General features: G+C 40.9%; 1 protein-coding gene, 1 long non-coding RNA gene and 1 other non-coding gene across 34 annotated transcripts in view; 1 reads left to right on the top strand and 2 right to left on the bottom strand.

Annotated features, from left to right (window-relative positions):
• Positions 1-25,670, bottom strand: part of SIDT1 (SID1 transmembrane family member 1) — a 104,557-nt gene that overhangs the window by 25,319 nt on the left and 53,568 nt on the right. For 23 of the 32 annotated variants that reach the window (XM_047448376.1, NM_001322299.2, NM_001322294.2 and 20 more), the window contains 9 exons: positions 18,745-18,788; positions 10,134-10,205; positions 8,643-8,788; positions 7,760-7,833; positions 6,817-6,883; positions 4,679-4,752; positions 3,576-3,699; positions 3,257-3,374; positions 649-785 (listed from right to left, as the gene is read on the bottom strand). In XM_047448376.1, the coding sequence (XP_047304332.1) occupies positions 649-785; positions 3,257-3,374; positions 3,576-3,699; positions 4,679-4,752; positions 6,817-6,883; positions 7,760-7,833; positions 8,643-8,788; positions 10,134-10,205; positions 18,745-18,788 (856 nt within the window). Of the gene's footprint in view, positions 1-648; positions 786-3,256; positions 3,375-3,575; positions 3,700-4,678; positions 4,753-6,816; positions 6,884-7,001; positions 7,732-7,759; positions 7,834-8,642; positions 8,789-9,364; positions 9,407-10,133; positions 10,206-18,744; positions 18,789-25,670 lie in introns of those variants that run through there. The other 9 variants (NR_136280.2, NR_136282.2, NM_001322300.2 and 6 more) reach the window with 8 other exon arrangements.
• On the bottom strand, positions 16,851-16,917 carry MIR4446 (microRNA 4446). Its single transcript, NR_039648.1, has one exon. It is a non-coding gene; the product is annotated as a microRNA 4446 (primary transcript).
• SIDT1-AS1 (SIDT1 antisense RNA 1) lies at positions 20,734-23,045 on the top strand. The gene is made up of 2 exons (NR_046729.1): positions 20,734-22,010; positions 22,988-23,045. It is a non-coding gene; the product is annotated as an SIDT1 antisense RNA 1 (long non-coding RNA).

Raw genomic sequence — 25,670 nt, 5'->3', positions numbered from 1 at the left:
ACACGTGTTTCCCATGCGTATTTAGAAGGTGGTTTCTGTTTTTTCCCCTCAGTCTCTCCAGTCAGCTTATATACCCCTATTCCACTTTCACATGAGTCGGGTCTAGCTTTATATTAAAATTATCCAGTGGTCTTTTTACAGGTGCCTAATACATTATTAAAATAACCAACTAGGCCGGGCACGGTGGCTCACGCCTGTAATCCCAACACTTTGGGAGGCCGAGGTGGGCAGATCATGAGGTCAGGAGTTTGAGACCAGTCTGGCCAACATGGTGAAACTCTGTCTCTACAAAAATTAGCCAGGCGTGGTGGTGGGCGCCTGTAGTCCCAGCTACTCAGGAGGCTGAGGCAGGAGAATCGCTTGAACCCGGGAGGTGGAGGTTGCGGTGAGCTGAGATCATGCCACTGCACTCCAGCCTGGTGACAGAGTCTCACAAACAAACAAAAAAACTAAATAACTAAGTAAAAGTGTGCCATGAGTGGGCCAATGATGAAAGTGTGTCATGAGATGAAATTGTGTCATGAGATGAAATTGTGTCATGAACTGAGGATTTTGGTTAATCCAAACCCGTTCACTTGATTGTTGTTTGTTTATTGGACCTAGGGGGGCACTTTTCGAGAGCCAGGTGGAAGAAGGTGGGGGACGCACCACTCCAAGGACGGTGACCATGATGACCACAGCAAAGGAGGCATAGGCAGAGTAGGCGCTGGCATTGATGTCTGGGTGGCGGGTCTGATAGAGCTTCAGCATGCACAGGCCAGCGATCATGTACATGAAGGAGGTGTCTGAGGACCCAAAGGAGGAGCCAGATGATCAGGATTCAGTAGGTGACAGACAGATGATATTTTCTAGATTTTTCTTCAGACTCTGAGTACCCCTCACTTCAATCCATGGACTATTTTCTACCCGCAGGCTGTGTGGAGACCTCTAACATGTCAGCCTCTTGGCACATTCTCTAGGAGACCGCACGTACTCCACTTCTAAACCTCTCTAAGGCTGCCCTTTAGTTCACAGAAGAAAAACATCTGATATAATAAATAAATAACTCCTCTTTCACAGAAGGAGTGTCTGATATGATAAACAAACAACTACCCCCACTTGCGTTTTAGATGCTGGTGTTCAACAATTATAACAAAAGAATTCCTAATGGTGATAATGTAGGCAGTGTGACCATAAAATGAGCCCCAGATGGGTGTGGGAGGTCGTTCTCAGCACCCTAAAATATAATCACATTGATTACTGCACATTTATAGCTTTATAGCCTAGTGATGGAAAATAGCTAGAAATAAAATGGAGCTTACTGCATTACAATTGTGGACATGCAAATTAAGATAACAATGCAATGCCTCCATTTTACTCAAAAACTTGATAAAAACTTTAAGTGTCTGACAGTAATAAACGTTAGTGATGATCTGGGGAATGGGAAGTCTCACACAGCTATTGGGAATGGGAATTAATGCTCTGGAGAGAAATTTGTCAGTTTTTGGTAAAATAGAAGGTGCACAAACCAAGTAACTGAAAAATTCTACTTCTAGGTATCCCAAGGAACCTCTCTCACATACATACAAAGAGACATATAGAAGGATGATCACTGCAGTGTTATCTATAATAGCAAAATACAGGCAACATTTAAATGCTGTTCAATAGAGGAATTGATAAATGTGATACTTTTTGTTATATAATATGACAACCCTTAAAAATGAATGCACTACATGTCCTTGATATAATATTGATAAATCTTGAAAACATATTCTTGAATGAAAAAAGGCTGCAGAACACAGAATGATAAACTACTATTAATTTGCTACAAATGTAGAAAAATTATAAAAACAAACCGGGAAGGTAAATATAAAATTAATCATGGTTATTGCCTTTAGGGGAGGAAGGAGGAGATTAAGTTTGAAAGTGCGTCAAAACAGGACCTCAACTTTATCACAGTGCTTTATTCTTTAAAAAGTAGATCTAGGCAAATATTTAAAAATGTTGACATTTGTTCATTCTGAGTGGTGAATGATATCATTCTCTGCAGTTTTCTCTATTGAAAATGTTTCCTAATTAAAAAAATTAAATGCGACAGAGTTCTGTGGTGCTCAGAGTTAACACCAGAAGCCAGAGCACAAACATTAAACGACCGTTTAAAAAATCCTCATCCTTGAGAGTGGAGGACATCGTTACTTGCTAGACAGCATCAGCTTTTCCTTTCTTCCTTCTTAATAACATCTCAATATTAACTCAATGTCTACCCGCTTTCAATTCAGAAATGCACACTGTCTCAGCCCCTTTGCTTCAGGAAAGCTAATCCCACCTTTGGCTCCAGGGACAGGGCTGATTGGTCTAAAGATAGTCCCACCTTTTTTGCTGATTGGTGAAGCAACCTGGGTCTGAGCTAACCAGCGCTTAGAGAATGATTCAAAAATGGGCTCATGGGGCCGGGTGTGGTGGCTCACGCCTGTAATCCCAGCACTTTGGGAGGCAGAGGCAGGAGGATCGCCTGAGGTTAGGAGTTTGAGACCAGCCCGGCCAACATGGTGAAACCCCATCTCTACCAAAAAAAATACAAAAATTAGCTGGGCGTGGTGGTGCGCACCAGTAGTCCCAGCTACTGGGGAGGCTGAGGGATGAGGATCACTTGAACCCCTGAGGCAGAGATTGCAGTGAGCTCAGATCATGCCACTGCACTCCAGCCTGGGCGACAGAGCCAGATTCTGTCAAAAAAAAAAAAAAAAAAAAAAAAGAATGGGCTCATGACTGTATAAGCTACTGAGATGTGAAAGGATATTATCTGTGGCTTTCTCAAAAAACAACTTCCTTGCTCTTAATTGAAGGCTTCTGGAACCCAGCTTGCCGCCTCCTCTGGAATTGTTGGGTGGAACTACGAAGCCAGGGGCTGCTATAGTTACTTTTGCCACCAGCAGGGAAGATAGCCTGATGATAAAACCAACATACAGGCTGGGTACAATCAAAGGGATCACAGAGAAATGAAGGCAGAGTCACCAGATAAATCAACCACAAGCCCTTTCTACATCTGGATGTCCTTATTATTCAATCCAGCATAAATTGGGTTCTCCATAACTTTCATCCCAAAGCAGTCTAACTGCTCAATTAGGTCATGCTCTGTGTGGAGGTCCTCTCTGATCTCTTCAGCTCACATAAAATGCCATTTGATCTTTGCAAGCATGACTTTGGCATTTTTGGGGAGGGTTCCAGGATAAGACTGACGATTCAAATCTGTATAGTAGATATAAGTTCTAATTACCGAATTGGAAGTTGGAATAATTAGGGCAGACATGGTAGCAAGCACTGAGCACCCCTTCCATCATCAATGCAATGCCCATAGCGTAGAAGAGACCAAAGTGTTTGGGAATCCCGTACTCCTGAAAAAGGAGAAAGGGTGGTCAATAGATACTAAATAGTGCCATATCCACCAAGTCACTAATCTGGAAGCACATGCTTCTGGCCTCATGTAGTTTATTACACATAATAAATCATCACACCATTAAGCCAGATGTCCCACCCCTTTGCAGATCCTGTTTGGATCCATAACCCTTCCTAGCTCCTACCCACTCTTTCCTCACCACAGCAAAGATGTCCTTGGCTTCCAGGGCTCTCCGATGGAGGATGTCGCGGCGCAAGACTATCAGCAGGAAGAGGAAGCCCAGAAGCACGTGGCCCAGATTGCTGAGAATGTTGTTGAAGGCACTACAGGGATGAGTGAGAGACCATGAGAGAGTCAAGACCATCAAAGGGACCCAGAGAATACATGATGCATGAAGGAATGAATGAATTCAGCATGAATGTTTTCCATTAACCTTTCCATAAGGTTTCAAGATCAGAAAAGTATTAGAAATCCTCTTTAACCTAACTCCTTCATTTTATGATGCTTACTTAGCCTGTGACAACGTGACTGTTTCCTCTCAAGGGTGCCTGCTTGGCTTCCTAACACCCTCCCATCCTCTCTTATCCCAGTGGCGTTTGTATAGTATGAATCCTGGGAAAGACAGCTGCTTCAAAGACAGGCAAGTGTTTCAGCTACACCGTGAGAGTGAGTTCTCACAGGTGGACCCGTGTGTGTCAATGTTCAGCTCTCTAATTGTGAATTTCAGGTAAGTGTCAGCCAATCATAGCCAGCAGCTTTATTTGAGGAAACGAACGCTGGTTCAGCTCTGGAGCAAGAGGCTAGACTCCCAACTCCCAGGCAATGCTTCTTCCACGTCACCAAGTTCTGGTGGCTAGAGCATGGCCTGGGAGGCCACAGGGCTGGGTTTGCGTCCTGCACTACTTAGCAGCTGAGGGACCTTCAGCAAATCCTCACCTGCCTTCATCTAAAAATAGGGATCATAGTAATGTCTATCTCACGAGGTTGTTTAATGGATCGAATGAGACAATAGGTTGCCAGCTCATGCCTGTGAACAAATGCCACCAGAGCTAGAGATCTGACATTTTAAAAAATGTCACTGCCCTCATCTCAGCAGGCAGTATGCTAAGGAATGTTTCCTGAGAACCACATACAGGAACGGGAGGAGCATACCTGGTCTCAACTTCTTGGTTTAGTTCCTTTTTACCCTTGAATAGGGTCGTTTTCCACAGTTGTTTTTAGTATTTTTAAAAACCGAAATCACAACATTAGACAGAAAGGCATCTCTAAATGCCTCATGGGCAACCAGAGGACTGGGTTTACCTCAGGACGCCCAAGGGGTGAGCACAGAGGAAGTTGTAGTAACAGATGTCCTGGTTGCCAGTGACATTTACCACCTGTAAAATCAAGAGTGAGAAGAGGAAATGTGGTTTTCCTCCGTCCTCTGAGCCCCAGCAGGAACACAAAGAGCAGACAGGGCTCACGGAGATGCACTGTCACTAGTTTACAATGTAACCAGTGCTCCTCTGCACAGATGGGCCATTATCTGCCACCTTACACAGCACAGGCACTTTTTTTACAAAAAAGTTACCATCTTGCTTTGAATGGGAATATTCTGTGTACCCTCTTATGCAGCCCCAAGGTGGAATTCATCCAATTGCATTTCCTTTGTTATGATAAAAGGACTACGAAAGAATGCGAACATTGGGGCCTTTCAGGACTGTCACACTATGTCTTATTTTCTAGGTTACTGCAGAGGGGATATAGAGCTGTCCCATCCTCTGGGTAGAAATGGTAAACATGAGGCAGGTAGACACGAGGAGATGTGTGTTCAGCTTTCCCTATTTATCACCATCTCTGTCAAGAACTTTCCCAAACCACAGTCCAGGTGTATCTTCTGACAGTCCCCCAAAGTATGCAGAGAAGATTTAGATTATAAACAGTGGTGCTCAAACCTCATGAAGTCCTTTTTCTCACTGCATAATAAGTATGCAATTGACTAAATATTATTAGATCATTAACACACAAACTTGGCTGTATGTTGGAATCACTGGGGGTTTAAACACTACAGATGCCTGGCCCCACCCTCAGGGACTCTGATCTAATTGGGACGGGGTACAGCCTGGACACTGGGATTTGTAAAAGCTTCCCAGGTGACCTTAATGCAGAGCAAAGTCTGAGGGCCACTGCATTAGAAGCAACTTCAGCTTTTTGCTATTGTAAATGGGCTTTCTACTGTGTAATAAATTCTATAGAAGGCCATATAAGTGACCTTGGCCTAGGATTCTATGGAGGAATGAGGATTCTCAAACTACTTTCATATTATTTTTGCTTAAAAAATGCTTGTTTTTATTTTACATTTTCCTTTTACTGTAATATTTTGTTAGTTTCATGAAGCTTTTTTTTTTTCTTTTTTTTCCTTTTTTTGTTCTTGAGACACGGTCTCACTCTGTCACTCAGGCTGGAGTGCAGTGGCTCAGTGTCAGCTTACTGCAATCTACACCTCCACAGGCTCAAGCAATCCTCCCACTTCAGCCTCCCGAGTAGCTGGGACCACAGGTGTGTGCCACCACTCAGCTAATTTTTTTGTATTTTTGGTAGAGTCAGGGTTTCGCCATGTTGCCCAGGCTGGTCTCAAACTCCTGAGCTCAGGCAATCCACCTGCCTAGGCCTCCCAAAGTTCTGGGATTACAGATGTGAGCCACCGTGCCCAGCCACAAAGCTGTTTTTAATTTTACAAAAAAAATTTACCTTCAATGGGAAGGCACAGGCTAGATTAGCTATCAGGTTCCTTTGTTTTAGTCTGGAACTTTATTTACTCTACTCATTGTCCCATAATGATCAGAAAGCTCAGAGTGTTAAGTAACAGATGCAGTGGATAGATATCATGACTGAATAAGCACAGGGTAATACTTTCAGACTGGTAGACAAAATAATACAAGAGATTGCAGCTCCCTTTGTGATAAAACAATTGGGAACTAGATTGAAAGGTCAGTTAAAGATGAAGCAATGGGCTGGGTGTGGTGGCTCATGCCTGTAATCCCAGTACTTTGGGAGGCTGAAGCAGGCGGATCACCTGAGGTTAGGAGTTTGAGACCAGCCTGGTCAACATGGTGAAACCCCACCTCTACTAAAAATACACAAAAAATTAGCTGGGCATGGTGGCACATGCCTGTAATCCCAGCTACTCGGGAGGCTGAGGCAGGAGAATTGCTTTAATCCAGGAGGCAGAGGTTGCAGTGAGCCGACATCGTGCCATTGCACTCCAGCCAGGGTGACAGAGCGAGACTCCGTCAAAAAAAAAAAAAAAAAAGAGGAAGCAATAGTGAATTCCAATTGGAACCCCAATGGGAAATTCCTGAATGGATCCTAAGTTGTACCTCTCTCTGTCAGTCACAGTGGAGACTCTCCCTGCAGAAAGAAAGCTGGGACTCTGGGGCTGGGGCTGGGGCAGCACTTACTGTCTGATAGGTAATGACCAGCTGGATCACGGGCAGCGCGTAAAACACAGCAATGGTGATGATGTTCCTATGCAGGCAGAAAGAACCAGAAATGCTTATTTTCAAATGAACAGTGGAGTCTTTGGTTAATATTTTTAAAAGAATGCTTCCACCCCATAAGTCCATAATTAACTTGCAAAAGTAACCAGAAGCTGATTATGTGGTTCTTGTTTCTCCAGTTGTCCTCTCCCCTCTCTTGCATTGGGGCATTTGGTACACAGTATCTTGTCTAAAGGGGAATTAAAGAAGTAAAGAAAAGCTTCCCTTGGATACTTTTAGTTAGGGTGCAGAGGCAAAAACTGAAAATACTAACTGAAATGTATTTTTTTAAAAGGTTAATGATTGGTACCCAACAAATATTAGGGTTTCTTTTTTCTTTCTTTTCTTACAACCATTTGTAAAACAGTGTAAGTAGTACCTGCTTCTGGTTTAACCAAATCATTTATGAGGGCCTATCTCTTTAGGCTGCTGTTAGATTAAACATCAGAGTGTAAGTAATGAGTGACGGATCACGTGAAAGGGTGTGGTTTCCAAACTGATGGTCCCACTATGAAATTTCATGTGGCCCCATTGTCCCTTATTTCCTTCTAAGATCTGCATGCAAGTAAAAGGGCATCCTCCAGGAGAAAATAAGGGGAGGAGCTGTCACAAGAGTAGAATACTCAGCTTGGGGGTTTCTGAGGGGAGAGAAGATTTCTTGCAAGGCAGCTCAGCCTCTTGGCTGGGAGGGAGGCTGTGTCCATGTGTGTGGCCATTGCAGGTCTACTGATAGTTGGCTGGTAACATCATTCCCTATGCCTGTGCCTCATTAAACACTAAAACCTTGTGCCTAAGTGGTTGTGGCTCTGACTAAGAAAACTATGTTTATTTAAGGGAACCATGGTCCTACTGGTCATCTACTTACCAAAAATAAATTTTATATTTTTTGCTGACAATTCTCCGGTCCTTCCTGGACAAATCTGACAGGTAAAGGAACATCTGGAATGCCAAATAAAAAGAGAATGCAAAACTGTACTCAGCTCTTTATGCATGAGATACAAAGGCAAACATAACAAATGTCTCAATTTAAATTAAAATTGTTAAAATTATTCAAGCGATACAATTATTCAAATTTACTAAATTTGATTAAGTAAATCAAATTTACTTGATTAAAATTATTTAAGACTTTTCTTTTAATGTTGTTTTTCCCATGATACCTTAATAAAAACCCTAGTATTTTCCTTGGAATATTAAGGATTGGCTGATGTGGGCAACTTATTGGGAGTCTTGAGTGCTTCTTACATGTCAAGAATTGATTTCCCAGCTTTCAGAGCTGTCCACTGTGTGGTTCTTGAACTACATAGGGCTGAAACTGTACGTTTCCCCTTCATATCTTTTGCTGGATATGACAGAAAATAATAATCACAAGCCAGAAACAAATTAGCTTTCCTTTTGAAAGATGATATGCACAGAACCGGGGAGCTTTCCCCAGTACACCCCTCAAATGAATCTTTTCTTTAATCTGGTTGGATCCCTTCCTTCTTTATTGCCTACAGTCATTCACTTCAGACCTTAAGAGTGTTTTAATGCCCTGTGCTCTTTAATGTGCTCACTTTCTTCCGCGAGAAAAAAAAGTGCGAATTAACAGAGTATTGCTTTTAGTCTGTAGGTACATTTGATTTAAGTCTTCTGGGAAATTTGGGTTTCCCTGAAGGAAACAAAATAAAGGAAACTGAGGTATTGCTGAAGTTTATTCTACTGCCAAACTTTCTGCCCTCTCAAAGAGTACGGCGAGGCAGAGTGGGTACCTTGGTCCGGATGATGTTTTTATCACTCTCAATGTCTGGCATGGTGTCGAAGTCGCTCTCCTCCACGGAGCTGTCTGTGTCTGACTGGCCCGGTGGCCCACCATCGGAGGAGGACATCTGCCTTCCAGGACTGGAGCTTGACTCATCTGAAACAGAGACAACTCATCTGCCATCAAAAGCCGTGGAGAGCCTACGGAGCCCATTCGTCTCTGCAAAAAGCACAGTGCAGACTCATTCTAGGAAATGCTGTGTTGATCCAAATGAACTTCTCATTCACAAGACCTGTTCTTTCTCTCTATTCCTTCTCAATGGACTTTTATTTTTCCTCTTCTCCTGTTTTTATATTTAACTTGGCTATCTTCAGGACTGAACACATATTAGAATCTAAGGGCATCTGCTCTGTTAACTATTTGGATACAAAAATAATATTATACTTCTATTTCATGTTTCATATGTTAAAATATGAACATAAATATATACAAATACACATGCACATCGCTATGTATAGCATCTATTGCATATATGTGTGAGCCCACACATATCTAACAGCTATACATTTCTCATGGGTAAAGTATTTGTACACAGAAATCACCCACATGCTGTATCTATGATTATATAATGAAAACAACATTCTCAGGAAGAAGAATCCTTCTGTTCCCATGAATGTTTCCCAGAGCAGATGGAGATTTATGCAGCTTGATGGGCACATGAGCTGAGCTTACCTTCCGCTTTATTTCTTCTGTTCAGATGGTTTCTTAAAAATCCTGTTCTAACAGAACTAAAAATAAGTAGTCTGCACTGAGCCCACATGCTTCTCAAAGTTACAGAATGATAGGGCAGGAATACAGGATTCCCAGTCCCTCTACACTGACATTTTAAAGAGCACCATTCATAGGTCCACAAGCAATATGGAAGGGCAGGCAGCTCAATGAGCTTCTACTCTAACAAGACAGGTCTAGGATTCCATTCTTTTCAGCCCACTTAAGGAACACTGGGGTTTGCCATGTGAACGACTGGGTGGCAGTGAGCAGGTTCAATTATGAAGTCAGCCAAAATGAAGGATTGGTAGGCTACAGCCATGTTCACCTGCAGCACTGCCTCAGTCTTCTGATCGCCCCTTACTCCACTGAAACCTGAGAATGAAACAACTGGTCAATTGATGTCAGGCTCCCTGGGACACATCTTTCATGCCCTAAACCCGGGCTGGATATGAAAAAGTCCCTAGGGGGCCTTAGTATTAGATGGCAAACATTGAAGGAATTCTGCCCAAGTGGGGCTAGCAGATCCAAGAAACAGAACAACAGAACTGGAGAAAGTTAGAGCTGGGAGGAAGCTTCCAAATCTCCAAGCAACTCATCTTACAAATAAAAGACAATCTCATAGGATAGCTGCTTTGCCCACATTCCCAGTTATTAGTGGCTGGAATGCCTTTCTATCATATTCTCTGCAGAATTAGGAAACACTTTCATGAACAGACCTGGTAGGACATACCTATTGTCCCATAATTGCTCCCTTCGGGTGTGCTGGCAGCAATGGGATGAGATGCCACCATATTTCCAGAGCCTGTTAAAAAAAGTGAAGAGGCAAACACTTTATGTCCAGTTGCTAAAACAAAACAACACTATTCTAAGTAGCTTGAATCATCAGGGCACATTATTTTAGGTTTGATTTTCTTTTTACACTAATACAGGAGTCACCAAAACTATGACCCATCTGCCAAATCTAGCCTGCCACCTGTTTCTGTATGGCTCTTCAACTAAGATTAGTTTTCAAACCTTTAAATGACTGGGGAAAAAATCCAAAGAAGAATAATGTTTCATGACAGGTAAAAATGATACGAAATTCAAATTTCAGTATTTATGTATAAGTTCTACTGAAACACAGCCATCATTTCCATTGGTGGACAATAAAAATACTCAGTTTTGTAAGCCAGCTTTGTAGGTTTTTAGCATGTTTTAAATTTTTTATGTGTCCATTAATTTCCCCCATAAAGAAAAATAATTAAAGTGTAAACTCAAAACCTTTAGCCAGGTTTTGGACTTAAACTTTAATTATAAGGACTAATGCAATGGCCTTGGAGATCCAATTTCTTTTCTTCTTTGGTGGTTTAGCCAAGAGCTGGCTCAGCTGGACAGCAAGGCTTCTGGCTAACGCAGCATTTTTGGCAGCCTAAGCTGTTCCCAGGGCCCTTAGCACACAGATCTTGGCCTTCAAAATGCAGACTTTGGCCCTCAGAATGCATGCTCCCTGGCACTGTTACTAGGCTTGGAGATCCCCTCATAAATTTCTTCTTATTTAGGGAAATTAGGTGTTCCCTGGCCTTTCTTGGGCTGACCCATAAGTATGTAACATGTCATCAATACCATCTATGCTTTTCAACCAACTTCAAATCAAAGAAACAGGTTACCTTCAGACTGTTAAGTATGAGAGATCAAATCTTTCGAGCACAGTAACAGTGCCATGTGAAGATGTTGTGTGCAATTTGCCTGACTCTTTTTGACTTAGAACAGAATTGGCCATAGTTACAGCATAGAGCTTTGCTGCTGCAGCTGCTACTGCTGCTGCTACCAGTACTACCTCTATTACTACTGACTGATGTTTATTGCAGACTTACTGTGTAGGACAGTCTTTTAAATTCTTTCCAGGAATTTAGTCTTTTAAATTTTCAACAACCCTAGGAGGTTGATAATATTATTATCACCATTTTAAAGATGATAAAAGGGAGATGCTGAGAGATCATGTAATTTGCCTGGTCACTCTGAGAGTGGATGGATAGTGTTTCATTGTATTGGTCTCGGTGAGAACTTATTTTTTTTTTATGAAAAATTATTATTATTTCTTGGGACAGGGTCTCACTTTGTCACCCAGGCTGGAGTGCAGTAGTACGATCTCGGCTCACTGCAACCTCCACCTCCCGGGTTCAAGCGATTCTCCTGCCTCGGCCTCCTGAGTAGCTGGGACTACAGGTGCACATCACCACAACTGGCTAATTTTTGTATTTTTAGTAGAGACAGGGTTTCACCATGTTGGCCAGGCTGGTCTTGAACTCCCCACCTCAAGTGATCAGCTTGCCTTGGCCTCTCAAAGTGCTGGGATTACAGGCGTGAGCCACCATGCTTGGCCTAAAAAATGATTTTTAATTGTATATATTAAGATGTACAACATGATGTTTTGATATTACGTGCACATAGTGAAATGATTGCTATAGCTAAGCAAATTAACATATCCATCACTTTCCATAGTTCCCTCTTTTTTGTTGTTATAAGAGCACCTAAAATCTACTCTCTTCACAAATTTTCAACATAGAATGCAATATTATTAACTATATATATTCTTCCTACTGTATACTAGACTTATTCATCCTACCTGCCTGCAGATTTGTACCTTTTGACTTACAGCTCCTAATTTCCTCCCACTCCCTGTCCCTGATATTCACTGTTCTACTCCTTATTTCTATGTATTTTACTTTTTAAAAGATTTCACATATAAGAGAGACCATGCAGTACTTTGCTTTCTGTGTCTGGTGTATTCCACTTAGCATAACATCCTCCATGTTTATCCATGGAAGGCATATTGTTGCAAATGGCAGCATATCCTGCTTAAAGGCTGAATAACCTTCTGTTGTATTAGACAAAACTTATCTTTTTAACTGAAAAGACAGGAATTTTCCTTCAAACAAGAACAATTGGTAGTAAATATGTTACTTTCATATAGTGCTCAAGAATACCTTTCTAAAGAGACAAAGAGGTTGAGGCTCATTTGCATCTCCACTGTAATAAACTCACATTTTAAAAAAGCACAGCTTTTGCTTTTTAGATTGGCAGCTGCTGCCTGCCAATGATTACCCACTGGCGTGGGTCATCCTGCATCTTCTTTCTGTTTAGTTTATTGCAGGGAGTCTCATGGAACCCCTGGGTTGCTCTTATTCCTAGATGATGTTGTAGGTCTTTTACATTCCCCTCAGTATCTTTCACATTTTTCTCTTTTCAAGCTCCCTATTTTATTTTATTTATTTATTTCTTGAGACTGGGTCTCACTCTGTTGCCCAGACTGGAGTGCAGTGGCACAATCATGGCGCACTGTAGCCTCAACCACCGGGTTCAGGCGATCCTCCTGCCTCAGCCTCTTGAGTAGCTGTGACCACAGGGTCATGCCACCACACCTGGCTAATTTTTCAAAAATTATTTGTAGAGACAGAATCTCCCTAGGTTGACGAGGCTGGCCTCCAACTCCTTGACTCAAGCAATCCTCCAGTCTTGGCCTCCCAAAGTGCTGGGATTACAGGTGTGAGCCACCATGCCTGGTCTAAGCTCCTTATTTTAAGTCACTAACCTATGTCCTTATTTGAAATGTAATTTTGAAAATTATTAAATGTGCAAATAGTAAATGAAGAATGACACTAAAATCACAAAATGCTGAGAATATTATCATATATTTTACCATATATTTTATCATATAATATTACCATATGTTTTAAAGATGATAAAAGGGAGATGCTGAGAGATCAAGTAATTTGCCCAGTCACTCAGATAGTGGATGGATAGTGATTCCTTGAATTGGTCTCAGTGAAAACTTGTTTCTATAAAAAAAGATTTTTTAATTGTATATATTAAGATGTACAACATGATGTTTTGATGTTACGTGCACATAGTGCATTTTGGTGTCACTGGAAGTCCTCTGATATGGGAAGTTGAAGTTTGTATAAGAAAATACTGGAGGTCAGTTGTAGCAGGAGGTCGAAATTGTTCGTGGGAGCCAATGTTCTCTGTCTGTGTGTGTAATCAAAAGAAAAACAAAAACCAAAAACTAAAATCAAAGCAAGTGAACAAACAAAAACAATCAGTGTTTTGTTAGGTGACAACTTCACTAAAAAGACAAAGCCAGCTGTGTAGGTCTGTTCAGACTTTAAGGAATCACTGATTTCTGTTTTCTGCTCTGGCTCATCACTGAGCATGATCTGGTTTTGATGTTGTTGCTGGCCCTGTTCATTTTGAGGCAGCTGCAACATCATGGGTTCTGTGACAGATAAGAGCACCAAGATTTTCATGTGCAATACCATTGCCAGCATGCAAAAATGTTTTCATTCTGTGGACTTTTATATGCACCAATTAAATATGAGATTGGCCAACATGGGATAACAGTATTCTTTTCATTTTGCTTATGTCTAAAGCCTTTTAAGAATGCAAAAACCAAGGCATTTCCTTCTAAACGTCAAGTATGGTCTGGGAAGGCAAGCCATATCTATATTTAACTGTATAGTACATAGAAAGCATAATTCAACACAAAATATCAGCTTATAAGACAGACCAAGATGTTCTGGCTGGAAATAGCAGACACTTACGATTGTGAATGATCTCATCTTAATGAGGAAACTTGTTTTGATATGTGTTTCTCTGAGCTTGAGCCCCCTGCATCTGTCTACTTCACTGACATAGAACAGGATATGCTTGCACGCTTGCTTTTTATGGTAAATGCCTTATGTGAGGAGAAAAATTTCATTTCATTTTGAGCATGTTTGCGTCTTTCAGGGACTTCATATTTATAGTTGCCTTGTCCCATTATGTCTCTGAAGACTCAGCAGGTTGGAAGCTGAAGAGGGAGCCAGAAATGATGGGAACTAGCTAGCATGATTTTTTTTTTTTTTTTTTTTTTTTTGAGATGGAGTCTCGCTCTGTCGCCAGGCTGGAGTGCAGTGGCATGATCTCGGCTCATTGCAACCTCTGCCTCCCGGGTTCAAGTGATTCCCCTGCCTCAGCCTCCTGAGTAGCTGGGACTACAGGTACATGCCACCATGTGCGGCTAATATTTTGTATTTTAGTGGAGACAGGGTTTCACAATGTTGGCCAGGATGGTCTCAATCTGCTGACTGTAGGCAATCCACCCGCCTCGGCCTCCCAAAGTGTTGGGATTACAGGTGTGAGCCATCGTGCCCAGCCAAAATTTTATTTTTATGCCAATTGCCTACCTATCCCAACTTAGTGTCACGTTTTGTTTCAATAGTTGAAGAAAAAATGAAGAAAACCATCATCTTTGCAGATGGATGTAAAAGTAAAATTCCTCTAGAAGAAAAAGCTGGACAAGAAAACTAGAAAAAGAAGAGTAGAGATCTAGGACTAAAATTTGAGACCCTTTGTCACTGAATGGCCTGCGTTCCTTGAGTCCTCCAAATTCAACACTCTCCTTGTCTTATCTCCACCAGATCTTGCTCTTGGCTAAGAGGCTGGTTCAGTAATGGCTGTATCCAGGGAAGGATTGGGTTGGCCATTTGGTTCTTAAATCTACAACCGATTAGGCCTGCCAAGCTCTTGCATTTGAGAAAGTAACCTCCTCTTCTGTTGTACCCCAGTTCCTGGTGGCAACTCAAGGGGTCCCAGAGGCCTGTTGGGGAGGCTTCATTATTTTTCTCAGCTGGTAACTGAATTTCTGTAGAGGCTCTTTAACAATGATGTGAAATGTGGGGTTTCTCTCTGATAAAGCCAGTGGAGGAAATGGTTTTAGAGCACAGAGCCTTTCTTAGTACCTCTCAGATTCTCACAGATGCCCTGTCTTTGGTATTAAGGATAATTAGACAATACAGGGTCCAGTCATTCATAGTACAGTAAAAAAGTCCCTTCAAGTCCCCTGGAGCAGCTCTTTGCCAACAGTATTTCCATCTCACCCAGGCTCCAGGGTCTAATCTTCTTCTTCATCCCATGAAGTATGAAATACATTTTTTTGCTTTTTATTATAGTTGGAGCTAACATGGAGATTTTCACATACAGCTTAATTAAATCACTTCAGGCATATCAAAGAAAAACAAATGCAGAGTAGCGCACAGATTTTCTGAGTGCATCCTTCCTAACTCCAACAGAGCTGCCACCAATTTGGCAACCTGTAGGGACCTGATTCCATTTCTTCCACTTCAGTCACGTCTAAGGTGAAAGCCTTAGGCTAAGTTCCACAGATATCTAGCTCCACAATGATGTGGGCAGAGACCGTATTAAGTCTAGTGGGATCCTCTTCCCCTTTAAGAAGCTGCTTCTAGCATTTTCTCTGGATATAAGCACCCAAGGCATTTCCTGTAACTCTGAGCTCCATCGAACTTCCTGTGCCCCATGGTCATGCTGATCCTGGCCTTGGGAGAGAAAGACATTTCTGTATCCTTGTTTCTTCCCTGAATGTCTGTCACTAGCTTCCAGATATGGTCCTTACTTGCCTCTGTCTCTTGCTCCTGGTTGATTTCTCTATGCTCTGTTTGAGATGCCTAAAAAAGTCACTGGTTCTTCCCTTGGGCAGTGCTTGTCTTCTGCTCTTGGTTTAAGCATCTAGGTCTTGACTCACCAGTGGTCATGACATTGGGGGTGATGCCATCATTCCCTGTGGCCTCTCTACCTTACAAAGGTTCCTTATTTTCTTCCTATTTCAAGACTTTTGTGTGGTGAATATTCCTATTCCCTACTTCTTACCTAAGCTGGTGTGTTATTTAGGTGTCTTCATGTGTTTAGGTCCATGGTTCTCAAACAGGGGGATGTGGGGAAAGAGTTTTGCCCCCAAAAAGACATTTGGCAATGTCTGGAGGCTTTTTTTTTTTTTGAGACACGGTCTTGCTCTGTCACCTAAGTTGGAGTGCAGTGGTGCGATCTCAGCTCACTGCAGCCCCAACATCCTGGGCTCAAGCGATCCTCCCATAGCAGCCTCCGAAGTAGCTGGAGCACAGGTGCACACCACCACGCCCACCTAATTTTGTTTATTTTTTGTTTTTATGAAGACGAAGTCTTACTATGTTGCCTAGGCTGGTCTCGAACTCCTAGGCCCAAACAATCCTCCAACCTCGGCCTCCCCAAATGCTGGGATTACAGGCATGAGCAACTGCACCAAGCCTGGAGGCATTTTTAGTTGTCCCAAGGAGGGGCAACTCCTAGAATCTAGTGCACGGAAGTGAAGGATGCTATTAAACATCCTATAAGATACAGAATAGCCCCCAACAACAAAGAATTATCTGGCCTATGATGTCAATAATATTGAGTTTGAGAAACTCTGGTCTTAGAGAAGAGGACCTAATCTTAATTCTGAAAGTAGGTTTATCTGATGTGTAGGTAAATCTGTTCTTTGCAGTGACTGGTTTAACAATAAGTGTATGATTCACTCTAGGCCAATGAAACACAAGAAGTTGCTGAGGGCTTCTTAAAAGGTCCTTCCCTCTGGTGCTGCCAGGTGAAGGTGTGAGCCTTGACCCATGTCACTGCCAGCCCTGGGAGTAAATTGAAGCCAAGGGAATGGCAGGGAAATGGACCAGAGCCACTGGACTCATCAATCCTGAAGTACATCTTTTGGCTCTACTTCCAGAGCTAGGAGTCTCTTTCTTGATTAAGCAGGTTTGAGATTTTTTTTTTCTTGTTGCTGTGGTTACCTACAGCCACATGAATCTCAATGATGCATCTTTACTCTTTTTGGTCACTCATTTGTTTCCGCTTACCATCAGAAGGGTACCTCCAGCTCTTAGCTAATTTTCAGAGCCTCCCTGAACCTGGACAATGATCTGGCTCAAGTCCCAGCTTTGTCCACTTATGCTTCAATGTTCAACAGACCCTTCTGAATGCAGAATTCCTTCAATAAATATTATTATAATAAAAAGACTTCACTCATACTATAAAAAATAACAGACTAACCATTCAGAGGCTACCCAATGGGATTCAATCGATTGGATGTAGGCCTAAGTTCAACTAGGCCTAAACTAATCACAAAACTTGGAGGCACAAAACTTTTTTCCTGTAGGAAAAAAGATGACATCCAGAGAGCAGACAAATTCATTTAAACATCTGACGACTAAAAGGGAGAGGAGCATTTAGCACTTTAAAGCCACGAGAGCAGGTGTTCTTTTATAGTCTTTTATATTGACAGCTGAATGTTTATAAAACAAAGTGCTTGGGTGGCTGGAAAAACAGGCATGCTGACATTAAGGAAGACAAACATTAAAAAGAAAAAAGCAAACTCTCCAGCAAAGGGAGCAATGATCCTGCTGGAGGGGGGTAGGGGGTGAGTTAAAGTCTTTCTAAGATTCTGTGGCCTCATTTAAGTGTGGAAAACACACACCTAAACATCTGCTATGTATGACTTAAAAACCAAGTTCCACTTCATATTCCTCTTTAACCAAATTCTTGCTCTATGCCAAATAACCTATGAGCACTGAGTTTAGGTTTTTCAAAAATGAGGACATTTAAATTTTTAATTTTGTTAAAAAGATCAGGTCATTGAATTCTTTTGTTCAAACTCTCAGAGTGGAGGAAAAGGCATAGTACAATTGCTGGATAGTCAATTACTCTGGATTCCCCCAAGTTATTATACTCTTTATTATACTTGCTAGGGTCAAGTATTTCAGTTTTCTAGACACTTAAGAAAGCCTCCATCTTAGTTTGGGAAAAAGTAAACCATGTATCAGAGTTGGCACAATACATTCTTACTGTTGTTCACAAATCAGCTTTGGGATAGGACAGGTATGAACAATTATGTCCTAGAAAAGGTGAAACTTTTAAAAAAGATGAATGGCTGACCAATGATCTGTGATTACAAGGGACACTCCTAGTAAAGGTTTTTAGTGTGAGCTCCACGTCTCAATAATTATCAACTACAGCAGCAGTCTCCAACATTTTTGGCACCAATATTTAGGGACTGGTTTCATGAAAGACAATTTTTCCACAGACGGGGGTGGGGATGGGTTATGGCATTAGATTCTCATAAGGAGCACGCAACCCAGATCCCTCGCATGCACAGTTCACAATAGGGTTTGCGGTCCTATGAGAATCTAATGCTGCCACTGATCTGAGCGGAGGTGGAGTTCAGGTGGTAATACTTGCTCACCTGCCACTCATCTCCTGCTGTGCAGCCCAGCTCCTAACAGGCCACGGATCAGTACCAGTCCACGGCCTAGGGCTTGGGACCTCTTGAACTATAGAATTGGTTTTCACTAGCTTTGCTTTCCAACTGCAGGCTAGACTACTCTGCGGGATAGGAATCAAGGGAGGGTTTGTAAATTGCAAAAGGCAGAGAGGTAAAAGAAGCATGAAATGGGATGTTGCCACACTATGCGACACCATTTTGAATTGAAACCAAGCATTGCTCTTACCATCATTGGACCCAAAGCTTCCATCAATGGATTTTCTCTGAAACCTGCAAACAAGCACATACACATGCTCCTAAGACAGTGAAAACCTCAGCATTTTACATTTGTTCCTTATAGATTTTGTTGCGGATTTGTCTACTAGGATCTCTTCAAAACATGTCTTTGGGGCCAGGTGCGGTGGCACACACCTGTAATCCCAGCACTTTGGGAGGCCAAGGCAGGCGGATCACAAAGTCAGGAGTTCAAGACCAGCCTGGCCAATATGGTGAAACCCCGTCTCTAATAAAAATACAAAAATTAGCTGGGCGTGATGGCAGGTGCCTGTAGTCCCAGCTACTTGGGAGGCTGAGGCAGGAGAATTGCTTGAACCCAGGAGGTGGAGGTTGCAGTGAGCTGAGATCATGCCACTGCATTGGGCGACAGAGCGAGACTCCATCTCAAAAAAAAAAAGAAAAAGAAAAAGAAAAACAAAACAAACAACAACAACAAACAAACACATGTCTTTGGATATGGAGAAATTGGAACTCATACATTGTTGGTGGGAATGTAAAATGGTGCAGTCACTTTGGAAAAGTTTGTCAGTTTCTCAAAAAGTTAAAGAGTTACCATATATCCCAGCAATTTCATTCTCAGGCATATACATCATTTATTCATTCATCAGTTTTCAGATGTAATTCACATACCATAAAATTCACCCTTTAAAGTGCATAATTTAGTGAGTTTTAGTATTAGATTGGTGCGAAAATAATTGTGATTTTTGCCTTCAAAAATAATGGCAAAACCGCAATTACTTTCACACCAATCAAATACATTCACAAAGTTGTACAGCTCCCACCACTATCGAATTCTAGAATATTTTCATCATCCCCAGAAGAAATCTCAAACCCATGACCAGTCACTCCCCATTCCCCACTCCCCATCCCCTAGAAAACACTAATCTACTTTCTGTCTCTATAAGTTTGCCTATTTTAGACATTTCATTAAAAATGAATTATATTACATGCGAACTTTTGTGTCTAGTTTCTTTCACTTAGTGTAACGTTTTCAAGGTTCATCCATGCTGTAGTATGCGTCAGTACTTCAGTCTTTTTATGGCTGAATAATATTCCATTGTACGGATAGACCACATTTCATTGACATGCTTGCACTTAATGGATATTTTGGTTGTTTTCACATTTTGGCTATCATGAGTAATACTGTTATGAACATTTGTGTACACATTTTTGTGTGGACATATGTTTTCAATTATCTTGGGTATATAGCTAGGAGTGGAATTGTTGAGCATGAGATAACTCCATGTTTAACTTTTTTTCCAAACTGTTTTCCACAGTGGCTGCACAGCAAGAAGAGTCTTTCATCCCCAGAGTCTCGCTCTGTCGCCCAGGCTGGAGTGCAGTGGTGCGATCTTGGCTCACTGCAAGCTCCGCCTCCCGGGTTCACCCCATTCTCCTGCCTCAGCCTCCCATATGTCTTTCTTTATGTCAGTACCAGAGTCTTGATGACTGCAACTTTGTAATAAGATTGATATCAGAAAGTGCAAATCCTTTAACGTTCTTCTTTTTTTTTTTCAGGATTGTTTTGGCTTCTCCCTTTCATTTTCATATGAATTTTAGGATCAGTTTGTCCATTTCTGTAAAAAAGCCAGCTGGGACTTTGCAAGGGATTGTGTTGAATTTGTAGATTAATTTGGGAACTATTGTCATGTATATTAGTTTCCTACTGCTGCTGTAACAAACTCACAGACTGGGTGTTTAAAACAATACAAGTTTATTATCTTACAGTTCTGGGAGTCAGAATACCAAAATGTGCCTTATATGGCTAAAATAAAGGTGTCAGCAGGGCTGTACTTCTGGAGGCTGCAGGGGAGTATTCATTTTCTTGTCTTTGAAGCTTCTAGAGGCAGCCTGTATTTCCTGACTCACAGCCCCTTCCTCCATCTGCAAAGTATATCATTCCAACCTCTGCTTTCTTTGTCGCATTTCCTTCTTCTGCCTTTGACCTTTTTGTCTCCTTCATAAGGATTCTTGTGATTACATTAGGTCCATGTAGATAACCCAAGATAATCTTCATAACTTTATCACATCTACCAGTTCCTTTTGCCAGGTAAGGTAACATATTCACAGGTTCTGGAGATTAGACATAGAATTCTTTTGGGGACCATTATTCTATTTACTGCATTATCTTAACAATATTAAATCTTCCAATCCATGCACATGGGATGTCTTTTCATTTAAGTCTCCTTTAATTTATTTCAATGATGTTTTGCAGTTTTCAATGTACAAGTCTTACATTTAATTTGTTAAATTTACTCCAAAATATTTTATTATTTTTTGTGCTTTTGTAAATGGAATTGTTTTCTTAATTTTATTTTTGGATTGCTCATTGCTAGTGTAGAGAAATACAAATGATTTTTTGCATATTGATCTCAAGAAATCTTGTTAAACTCGGAGTTTCTTTTTGGAATGATGAAAATATTCTGAATTAGATCGTAGTGATGGTTATGCAACAGTGAATATCCTAAAAAATCACAGAATTGTATACTTTAAAGGGGCGAATTTTATGGTCTATGAATTGTATCTCAATAAAGTCATTATTAACAAACAAACTATACCATTTGGGAATGGCCATCAAAAATTAAAATGTGAATTATTCTCTCAAAATGAGGTTGGAGGGGTGTGAGAGGAAAGTTGGGGACCAGAAGTGCCCATGTTTTGATACATTCTCTTATTACTTCCAGATGGGAACTCTATAAGTTGCATATCCTGATTTTGTATGTTTGGTGGAAGAACTTCTCTTCATAGCTCTTTTGTTCCTAGACACACCAAACTCCTGAATGGCAGAGGGCTTTGGCTTTTGTTCTCTACCTGAGTCATTCTCTCCCCAGATCCTTACATGGCAGGCTCCTTCTTGCCATTCAGGTCTTGGTTATGAGAGGACTTCCCTGCCAATCAAATCTAATCTAAAGCAGCTTCTCCAATGCAATCGTTCTTTATCATACCACTGTGTTTTTTCTGTCAGGAACTGGAATGATTTTCTTTATTAATTGCTTACTTGCTTGTATATTTCTTCCCTGTAAAATGTAAGCTCTATCACAGCAGGGATCTATACTGTTTCATTCACTATAATATATCTCCAACTTCTAGGATATAGCTGGCACATAGAAGATGATCACTAAATTTTTATTGAATGAATGACGCATATCATTAAGGAGAAAAGTTGGCCAGGCGCAGTGGCTCACGCCTGTAATCCCAGCACTTTTGGAGGCCAAGGTGGGTGGATCACCTGAGGTCAGGAATTCAAGACCAGTCTGACCAATATGGTGAAACCCTGTCTCTACTAAAAATACAAAAATTAGCCAGTCATGGTGGCACGTGCCTGTAGTCCCAGCTACGGGGGAGGCTGCGACAGGAGAATTGCTTGAACCCAGGAGGCAGAGGTTACAGTGAGCTGAGATCGTGCCACTGCACTCCAGCCTGGATGACAGGGCGAGAGACTGTCTCAAAAAAAAAAAAAAAAAAAAAAGGGAGAGAAGTTATAATTTGGCCTGACTCTCATAGCTGGCAAAAGAGGCTGTGGTGAAGTTCCTTTTTAATAATTTTAGTTAACAATTGACTGGAAAGCAATTGTATGTACTCATAGAAGATGATATGTTTTGATTATGTGTTTGTATTCACAGACTTTACCCAAGTTTGCACTAGATTCTGGAACTGACAAAATTTTTCATTAGATGAGTTAAATGATTTACAAAGCTAGGATAAGGCAGGTGGTATCTAGTGAATAAAGGAAAAAATAGCAAATGAGGACTGTGCTAGATTGATTGCAAAATGGCTGCACCTCACCTTATATCCAGCTCTTTCAACCAAAGGTAGAGTCTACATCTTCATTTCCTGAATCTAGACTACCCTCATGACTTATTTTGGCCAATTGAATGAGGGGGAAGTAACATTGTGCTAATTCCGAATCTGCATCTTCAAGAGGCCTTGCACTCTTCTGCTGTCTGTCTTGGAAACAAATAAGCCCCAGCTAGCCTGCTTCAGGATGACAGACAAGTGCAGCTGAGGCCAGCCCAGAAGAGCTAGCTCTTAGTTGATCTGTCAGTGGACCACACTCTCTCATCACACCCACCTGGGATCTCTCAGCCCAGCCCAGATTAGCGGAACCATCCAGCTGACCCATAGATTTGTGAGCAAACTTAAACATGTATTGCTGTGTGCCACTGAAGTTTTTTTTTTTTTTTTTAATGTAGCATTATTGTGGTAATAGATAACGAATACAAGAATCAAAGGGAAGGATGAGTATTCTGGATTGGGCAGTTTGGATTCAATGTCTGGCAATGTGATTGTGAAGAACAAATAAGAGAACAGGTATGCAGTGCTTGACCCAGGGCCTGCACATTCATCGTGGGGGGCTTCATAAACGCATGTTGAATGGACTGAGGCTGGAGGATGGGAAGGGAATAGTGTTTAGTTTCAGGCTAATACAGTATGAAGACACTTTGGATTCTTACCTCCCTGATGGCAAGGGCCATGTCTCTGATCAATGTTTTTTATCCTGATCTCATAGCACGTACTACAAACCCCATAGGTATTCGTAATAGGGTTTAAGGGACTCATCAAGTAACTGGCATTATGCTGAGATGAGTAGCTTCATATGGTTTTTACAGAAAACTTTTTATTTTGCTTAGTTAATGAAGGAAAAGTTCTCCTATTAGCATTTTTTTCCTCAGTCTATTCTTCTATTTAGAATGCCAAATAGTTCTTACATCTCCAGATTTCTATTTCCACTTTGTCTATATTTGGAGAAATCTATGCTGTGCATTTGACCATAGCAAAATAATCTGTGGCTAGAAGTTTCCATAGAGCCTTATACCACAGCTTAGAAAAACTGTGCTTGGCTTAGTTGGCTAAATAACAACTTTAGAGCGATTGATAACCAGCTATTAGCTTAACTTGTCTGTTTGTATGTTAACTATACTAGCTAACTAATGAGGAACACTCCTGTTTTCTAAAATCTAAAACATCAGGATTAGAGACAGTCTTCCTATGACAGGCATAACAGAGGAACTTCTTTCCATGATATTGGAACTCATCCAAGGCAAAACTGGAAGTGTTTTGGACCCCTTTTCAACTTAGATCCTTGCTGGGGTGCCAGGCTTTTGGTCTGGCATTCTTGGTCAGCACTGTCATCTCTCATAGGGCCTGACCACTCTAGACCCATTTTGATCAGCCTGCTTTAGGCCTAAGGCTCTGGATCCAGACTGCCTGAGTTCAAATCCTGGCTCCTTCATTTACTGGCTGTGAATTCTTCGTAAAATTGCTTAATCCCTCTGTGCCTCAATTTCCTTAACTGTCACTTGGTGATAATAACAGTACCCACTGTTGAGGGGCATCAGATGAGATAATCTACTTAGAGCGCCTGCCATGAAAGGCAAATGGAACCATGCTTTCTTTCAAATGTATCATATGCTGTTTTCTTTTAGTAAATGGAAGAGTATGACACTAAAAGGAGTTTGTAAACAAACATCAAGAAGAAGTTAATTAGAGCACAGAGCCTGGCACACAGCAGGCACCTGTTAAATATTAGTAACTCTGATTCGATAAATTAATTGAGCTGCTAATCAGTTAATGTATACTTTCCAGGTATAATATTCACCTGTAGCCTGGGGTTTTTGTTTTTAACTTGTATTTGAAAATAATTTCAGATTTACAGAGAAGTTGCAAGAATAAGAACATAGAATACCAATATATCCTTTAAATAGATTCAAACAATTGTTAGCTTATTACCTCATTTGCTTTTATCATTCTCACCTCCCCATAAAGATGTAATATATATGATATATATGTATCAAGATACACACACACATACATATACACTTTTTTTTCCTGGACCATTTGAAAGTAACTTGCATACAACCAAGACCTAAACTTTTATTCCTAAATATTTCAAAAAAAATTCTCTTACATAACCACAATACAGTTATCGAATTCAGCAAATTTAACATTGATGTGATATTCTTATCTAATCTACTATCTGTATTCCAGTTTTGTCAATTGACTCAATAATGTCCTTTGTTGAATATTTTTCTGCTAGTGTAATGTAAGATCCTGATTGAGATCAGGTATTGTCTTTGGTTGTAACATATCTTTAGTCTCCTTCAATCTGGAATACTTATGTAACTTTTCTTTGTCTTTTATGACACATTTTAATAGAATGTTTATCATTGGAGGTTGTCTAATTTTTCCACATGATTAGATTCCAAATATGCATTTCTGGAATGCTACAAAAGTGACATTGTGTCCTTCTCAGAGTGTCACATCTGGAGGCACACAATGTCCATCTTCTCCTTGGTGATATTAATTTTGATCACCCGGTCAATATGTTTGATTTCTTACTGTATATCTACTATTTTTTCCACTTTAACTACTAAGCAATTTGTGAGGATACAGTTTAAGGCCATGCACACATCTTCATCCTCATCAGATTTCTGCACCCTAGATTTGGCATTCATCGATGATTCTTAAGCAAATCTAGTCTTTAACATAATGTTTGCAAAATGATGATTTTCCAACTCCAGCACTCCTCCATATTTACCAGCCAGCTTTTGGCATTTTGCTGTGGTCAAGAGTTCTTTCTCCCTTCTACTATCAGTATCTGCTAATGGCTCCTTTCCCGAATGGGTAGCTGTTTTCATAAATTTGTTGAATTGCTGAATGTGTATCCACAGGTGTTTAGGCCCTTCCTTCCTTTATCAACAGGGACTCATACACTTCTATTTTTTCCAATGGTTTATAATTCATTATTCTTAATAATTTTGGTGTTCAAATTGTCCCAGATTTGGCCAGCAGTCATCTACTGTTTTTGAAGGCAATATCTGAACTCAAAAATTTCATACAGGTCATCGAGGCAGTTATTTTTTGAATAGGAGATAG

Source organism: Homo sapiens, chromosome 3, assembly GCF_000001405.40.
Source record: "Homo sapiens chromosome 3, GRCh38.p14 Primary Assembly".
In the NCBI taxonomy this organism is placed as follows: Eukaryota; Metazoa; Chordata; class Mammalia; order Primates; family Hominidae; genus Homo; species Homo sapiens.
Note: the sequence above shows the minus strand (reverse complement) of the source record. Positions and strands in the feature narration are given on the sequence as shown.